Raw genomic sequence first — 7,297 nt, 5'->3', positions numbered from 1 at the left:
TAGGGTACATGTATTTGCACACATGCATATACATACATACATATACATACATATATATACATACATATATATACATATTTATTTATTCATCTTCCTCTTCCCTCAAGTGGTTTGTTGTCTCTTATTTTTTTATGTTTTATTTTTTTGCCTGTTAAACTCAGATGTAAACTACTAATTCTCCTGTATCCCCCACAGAGTAACTAGCACTGTGTTGTGCCCTTAATAAATGCTTGCAAATGACAAAATGAATTCTGGGCTTTGGTTAAAGATGACTTCAGCATGGAAATGAGCCCCTATGTTTGTGTGTAGGTTTTAATGGTTCATTTTCTTGTCAGACTTCCCCTGGTTATGAATGCTGTGGCGGCATCAGCAGTATAAAGGGAGGATTTTATTGGAGAACATTTGGAGGATTAGAAAAATCTCCAAAGCTTTGGAAGCACCGCATCCTGTGTTCAGACTTCTATTTCTTTCTGTCTCAAGACCACAATAAGCACAGAAGAAAGATGGCAAGATCCACAGGGTTCCATATGTGAAGCCAGTCCCCCAGCCCCCCTCAGAAGTAGGTGGGAGGAGGAAAGGAGCATAATCATTAGAGAATTTATTATTCAGCTGTGTTAATTCTCATCAGGCTGCAACTTTGCATACGAGCTCTTAACCCCACAAGATATAGTTATTATTTAATGCATGATGTATTTAGTTTTAAGTTATCCTCTTTCCTGGTTTTTACTAAAATAACAAACAACAAAAAAATCCCCATGATAATTCATGCATTCAGACCAAAAGAATTCAAACAGGATTCAATGGGAGGCTGTATAGCCGGTACCTTTATACCTCTTTATAGTGAGCCGTGAAAAACATAATACATTTTGGTGGGCATAGAAAATACTCACTAGCATAAAGGGAGAATAAGGCACCATTTATTGTCCCAGAAAAAATAATTTGTCAAACACATACTGGGTTACTGTGAAGACCAGGCATTTTTTCCCCCAGAGTTTATTCTTCTATTAACATCATTAGACGAGGCTTTTTGAAAATGGGGAGCGGCTCACCAGTGGGAACCTACCAGCTCTGGAAGTGACTGTTACTGTCCCATCCCTCCACCTCAATCCAATTCACACTTTTATGATTGGCTTCCTTTTTGACCCATGCTTGTTAATTATATCCAGCTGTAGGCAAATTGCTCTTCCAAATTGGCAATACTGAGCTCTCAAGCTGCTCACATTTTCTGCTTCCCTTGATAAAACCTTTGGAGCATGCATTTTCTTGACTAGTGTTTCTGAACTAATCCTCAGTTATGGATGTTTTAAGGGTTCAAGGGACTTACAAAATAACTCTGGTTGTGAATACAGTGTATGTCTTTCCATCTGATCAGAAATTGCCTAAGACCATATAGAGAGAATTTCCTGAGAAATGCAGGCAAGTGGCATCACTATTTCTCTTATTCCTGAATACTCTATTGTTAAGGTCTAAGAGCCAAGCTAACTGGACAGGTCACAGTGCAACTCCAGGGAGGAGTTAGGCTTTGTTCTACAATCCAAGGCCCCAGTGCCCATCCAGGGTGATAGCTTTTAAGGGTATGACAAGCACATTTTTCCACTCTGGAAGTCCCTGCTCTATTCATGGGCTTTATTGTCAGAAATTCCCTGTCCCTCTTGTCCCCAGGGATTCTCTTGACAACACACGTACCCATGCAAGAAGTTTCCTGTAAGAAAGTGCTTATAGGTGTGTTTTTCTTTCAAAGAGAAAATAGAAGCTTATTTCCACCTACCAGGTCAAGAGGCTCTGCAAGAATTGGCTTGAGGATTTTGACACCTGACTCAAATAAAAATTTTTAGAGATAAGAATTAGGTACATAGGAATTGGAAAAAAATCAGATTTAGAATCCGAAGACCCCAGGTCAGAGTTACAATCCTGCTATTAGCTAGCAGCATAACCTTGGGCAGGTATTTTAATTGCTCTAAGCTTTGATTTTCCTCCTCAGTTAAGTGAAATTAATCATACCTGCCTTGCCTCCTTCACAGAGTTGGAGTGAGGATAGATCATGATCCATCATATTCATGTGGGTGAATATGCTTTACAAACTAAAAAGCGTAATATAAGCAGTTAGTTATTATTAACAAGCTGAGAATATTATCTAATTGCTTATAAATACATGCTGTGTGTACACTCATGATCTGCCACTGGGTAAATAAAACCTTGCTTCCGCTCAGTACAAGTTTGTGCATAGTCCTTTAGTGAACAAGACAAGGAAAATAACATTTAGCAGCTGTTATCAACCAGGCCCTTTCATGTCTATGCTTTTTTTTTTTTTTTTTTTGAGATGGAGTCTCGCTCTGTTGCCAGACTGGAGTGCAGTGGCACAATCTTGGCTCACTGCAACTTCCACCTCCTGGGTTCAAGTGATTCTCCTGCCTCAGCCTCCCGAGTAGCTGGGACAACAGGTACATGCCACCATGCCCAGTTAATTTTTGTATTTTTAGTAGAGACAGGGTTTCACCATGTTGGTCAGGATGGTTTTGATCTCCTGACCTCGTGATCCGCCCGCCTCAGCCTCCCAAAGTGCTGGGATTACAGGCGTGAGCCACCGTGCCTGGCCTCATGTCTATACTTACAAGCAAATCTGCAGCTCTACAAGAAAAGAAAATGTATATATATATATATATCTATCTATCTATATATATAGATAGATATATATATATAGATAGATAGATATATAATTTAATCCTATAAAAATATTATTACTTCATTTTCACAAAAAGGAAATTAAGATACGGTGGTATTAAATGTTGTTTAATGCAATGTTCCCAAATTCTGTTCCCTGGAACCCTGGTCCTGAGACCTACTCCTCTATTAAAGCGTTCTATGGTCCAAAACTTTGAGAAACAATGAATTCTTTTTCCTTCTCCAATAGACTTATAGCACATGATACCATATCGGAAACCATGGGAAAGATTCTATAATAAAGAAGCTTGCTATATTGAAGAAATCTGTTAAACTTTGCTCAGTCCAGAGTTCTCCGAGCTAATTTAATCTTGAGGCTGTATTTTTGAATTATACTTATTTAAATCTGATAGAACTGGGATTCTACAGAAAACACTTGCCAAATGCAGATCTAAGATTATGATTGGAGTTAGTGTGTGGTAGATCTGCAATCAGAACACAAAGCTGTCCTCTTTTAAAAGAAATAATGTAACCATAGGCCAAAACAATAGGAAAATAGAGAAGAGCTCCCATAAAATTTTAGTATACTACATCTATTGCTAACTATATTAATACTATGTTTTGTAATTTTTTTCAGCCTTCTTTTTTTCTTGGTTATAGTACAAAGACCTTTGTCTTCTGTTTTTGTTTATTGTTGTAAAATATACATAGCATAAACTTTATCATTTTAACAATTATTGAGTATGTAATTTGGTGGCATTGAGTCCATTCATGTTGTTAGGCAACTATTACCACCATCCCTCTCCAGAACAGTTTTATCTTTCTAAACTGAAACTCTGTATTGTCTTCTGATGATTTTACCCAACATTTGATCATAAGCATTTTTCCATCTTGCAATTTACTTTTTTCATAACTTTCATTTCTAGTGGCTATGAGATATTCTACCATATAATGCTTATGAATCTGCCTATTGTAGAATATTTATATTCTTTCTCTTTTGAAATGATAAACATATTAAATAACATTTTTCATATTTTGGATTATTTACTTGCAATAGCTTCTAGACTAAAGAATAGGAAGATTTTAGTGATTTTTAATGCAGGCTGATGATTTCTTTTCCTAAAAGTTTAACCAAATTTATACTTCTATTGATTCATGTATTCATTTATTCTTTCAAACAAACAAAAATCTACTAATTCCTAATATTTGCCACGCACTTAGCTATGTAGAAGACCCACCAGATTTCTACTCAAGTGATTTCAATCCATACTGGTCGCATTAGTTATGCACAAAAGGAATAATGTACTTACCTAAAAGTTTTATTGCATGCTTTTGATTTTTAGTGAGAAACCATCTGTGTTGGTTTGCTGATTTCTTTTGAGAATTTCCTTTCTTCTCTTTGCATCGCCTCCCCCACTTCTCACTTAAGTATGTGTCTTTGGGTAAGTTACTTAATCTATAACCTTGTTTTCTTATTTGTCAAATGGGAATAATTGTACCAAAGTCTTCACGGAATTGTTGACTGAACTCAATGAAACACTGAAAATCTTGATGTCTCAGTGTGACATTGTATACTCTAAGACAGTGCCTAGAACATTTGAAGAACTTTCTAAACATTACCTGCTATTATTATTACTTCCATGATAGAGAAATTAATAAAGTTTCATGAAATGAATCTTCTATCAGCTGTCCCCCAAAATGGGCAAGGTAAGAATTGTGTGCACTTTGTCCTGGCACTGTGTGAAAATATTTAAAGAAGTTTTTTGTTTGTGTGTTTAAACAAACAAATTACCACGTCATGAACTTCTTTTACATTTCTTACAAGAGTAGAACAGATGAATTAGTATACAGACAGTAGGGTTTTGTTTGTTTTTACTGGGAAAAATTGCTGCTAAATTTTAGGAAGTTCTGCTGTCCTCAAAAAGAAAAATATGTCCCTCAGTTTTTTGTTACCTGGGATCTAGGAATGTTCTCTAATTAAAGAAATGGAATGGTGATGGTGTGTTGAAAGGTATAGGTTAATGAGTTAAAAAAAAAAAATCTACATTGCACCCTAAGGAAGGATGAACTTAACTATGCTGAACTGAATTGACAAGGGTTGAGCTAGTCAGTGTGCTAATGAGCAGGCTACTATTCTCATAGAATTTTTAAAAGTCTTTTCTGCCTGATATGTATGTGTGTATAATATGTATTTATATATGTATATATTTGTGTGTATATTTATTACATTTTTGTTTCCACAGGCTCTGTCATAAGTCTGGTCATTAATAGCATATATTTGATTAAAAGAATATGTGGCTTGGTAAATTATGTGAATGTTATATTAAAATGAATTTCACATTGTCTTGATTTACAAAGGCTAAGATGTCTGAGAAACTGAGAGATGTCAATCAACAGACTATTGTTTTAGCAATTGTACATAACACATAAAAATTCTGAATCAAAGTTATTATGTTATTCAATTGTGACCATACCTATTTTTTGTGACATTTTACAAAAATGAATAAAGTATGCACCATACAGTCTTACCACAGAAGTAAGGCAGGGTGGCATATGGCGAAACCACTTCAAGCTGCTGAAGTAGTTAACTGTGAAATATTTTACTGTCATAATATAGCATTATTTTCTGCCAGATGAATCATTCCGAAGAAGCTGTTTTCATGGTCAGTGTAAAAGTCCTTTTGTTAAATACTTATGTCTTAACTACCTACTAGATATTAAAAAAAACAAAACCACACACACACCAGACCTAGGTGCAAGGAAGGGATAATAAGCCCTGATGCAGTTCTTAGGTGAGAACTGGAAAGGGGCCGGAGGGTTTCAGAGCAACAAGCAAAGTCAGTGAAGCAGAGTAAATCCAAATACTTGGCCAATGACAAATAAACCAGAAAGGAGACACGCCAGCTGTTCACGCTGGAAAGTTACTGATCGTTTATTCTGGTTCAAGTTTTATTTATTCTATGAATAAGGGACAAGTTTTCGATGGGGGTGGGGTGTCTTATTCCTTATTACAAGAATAAGGAACGGGGAGTTTTCAAGGCAGGCGGGTGTTTCCTCAGGGCGCTTCCACACTCCCCTTTCAATCAGCAACCGCTCGGGGGGACCTCCACCTTGGGACGGAACCCCAGGACGCCTCTCCTCGGACGGCGGGGGTTTCTCTGCGCGCGTCCTCGGTCGTCTGGTCGCACGGCTTACCGAACTCTCGCCTCTCAAATTCTGAGTTCTGGAACAGGGCAGCGAGCTGCGCCGGCTCCCCTTTCTCGCTCGCTCCCTCCGAGCAGCGGCTGGCGGCGGGGCCCAGGCTGCGAACAAAGGCGGCGCGGGGCGCGCGGCCGGGGCTGGCGCGCGTCTCTCCGGCAGGAGGCGGTGGCGGCGCCGCGCCCGAGCCCGCATTCCTCAGAAGCGCCCGGAGCCCGCGGGGCGACGTCACCCCCGGCTCCGCCCCCGTCCCTCCCCGAGCAAAGTAACTCTTGACTAACAGGAGCAGCCTCCGCCGAGCATGGAGAGCTGCCGCCGCGGCCGGCCGGCGACGCTGGCGACGCTTTCGCCCCTGAGGTAGTTTGGCGACCGCGAAGAAGGAAAAAGGGCGGGCGGGCGGCTGTCCTCTCACCGTCCTCACCCCGCGAGGCCCGGCCCGCTCCTCCGTCGTGGATTTCGCGGCGATCCCCCCGGCAGCTCTTTGCAAAGCTGCTTGAAACTTCTCCCAAACTCGGCATGGATACGACTGCGGCGGCGGCGCTGCCTGCTTTTGTGGCGCTCTTGCTCCTCTCTCCTTGGCCTCTCCTGGGATCGGCCCAAGGCCAGTTCTCCGCAGGTGAGTGGCCGGGGGGCGTCCCCGACGAACGCCTGGAGTCCTGGGCTCACGAGGGGTGAGCCAGGTCCCCGCTAGGGCTGGGGACAAGGATCGTGGGGAGCTCTCTCTGTCCGGGGGTGGGGAACACAGGGTAGAGGGAGGGCTGTCCCCAGAGTTCGTGCCAGGTGGGACGCGGGGCACCCATTGTTCCTCTCCGAAGCTTGCTCGGGGCTCAGGCTGGCACGGTCTAGCCGGAGAGTGTGGGGACCTGCTGGCTTCGGCGTCTCGCGTGGCCTGCGCCGGGCTAGTGGGGAAGAGAGAAAGAAAAAGTAGTTACGACTCCCGTGACGGCACTCTGTTGCTTGTGGTGCGGGTTTGTTGCTGTCTGCCACTTGGGTGTTTAAACAAATTCCCTGGGAAGCCATTGTCAGAAATGTGGAGATTCGAAGGGACTGACCTCGGCGCGCTTTGCCAGGTGCTTTTTGTCCCGGGAATAACCTCCCCTGACTATTGTCTAACTACTTCCCCGTCCCTCCCGGAGTCCCCTTTTCTCCTCCCCCAGCTCTGGGTTGCTCCCGGGCTTGCCCTGTGCGCTCGGGCACTGCTTGGAGCATGTTCTGTGTGTGTGTTGGCGGAGCCCTGTAAGATGTGTTGAAATGCGGTTCTAAGGACCCACTCTGAGCGTTCATGGGCATCGAGGTCTGGGCGCCTGGTGGAGGAAGCCTGACTCGCGCGTGGGAGCCCGCTCCTCGGGCAAAACCACCGCCAGGCTGGCCCCGCGCTCCCCGGATCCGGCCTGGGGCTCTGGCCCCGCGCTCCCCGGATCCGGCCTGGGGCTGGAAG

The 7,297-nt window shown here is 42.6% G+C and overlaps 1 protein-coding gene across 6 annotated transcripts in view, besides 2 other annotated features; it reads left to right on the top strand.

Annotated features, from left to right (window-relative positions):
- Positions 5,773-6,367: an enhancer, noted in NCBI's record as "NANOG-H3K27ac-H3K4me1 hESC enhancer chr6:128841512-128842106 (GRCh37/hg19 assembly coordinates)". NCBI's record gives its function as "activates a minimal SCP1, AML or CMV promoter by ChIP-STARR-seq in primed H9 embryonic stem cells {active_cell/tissue: H9 hESC(primed)}" and the evidence as "EXISTENCE:reporter gene assay evidence [ECO:0000049][PMID:30033119]".
- Positions 6,135-7,297, top strand: part of PTPRK (protein tyrosine phosphatase receptor type K) — a 551,815-nt gene continuing 550,652 nt past the window's right edge. For all 6 annotated transcript variants that reach the window (NM_001291984.2, NM_002844.4, NM_001135648.3 and 3 more), the window contains exon 1: positions 6,135-6,475. In NM_001291984.2, the coding sequence (NP_001278913.1) occupies positions 6,376-6,475 (100 nt within the window). In that variant the 5' untranslated portion in view covers positions 6,135-6,375. The remainder of the gene's footprint in view (positions 6,476-7,297) is intronic.
- Positions 6,368-6,961: an enhancer, noted in NCBI's record as "NANOG-H3K27ac-H3K4me1 hESC enhancer chr6:128840918-128841511 (GRCh37/hg19 assembly coordinates)". NCBI's record gives its function as "activates a minimal SCP1, AML or CMV promoter by ChIP-STARR-seq in primed H9 embryonic stem cells {active_cell/tissue: H9 hESC(primed)}" and the evidence as "EXISTENCE:reporter gene assay evidence [ECO:0000049][PMID:30033119]".

The sequence above is a fragment of the Homo sapiens genome, chromosome 6, assembly GCF_000001405.40.
Source record: "Homo sapiens chromosome 6, GRCh38.p14 Primary Assembly".
In the NCBI taxonomy this organism is placed as follows: domain Eukaryota; kingdom Metazoa; phylum Chordata; class Mammalia; order Primates; family Hominidae; genus Homo; species Homo sapiens.
The sequence above is the reverse complement of the archived record's forward strand: the minus strand, read 5'-3'. Positions and strand labels throughout refer to the sequence as shown.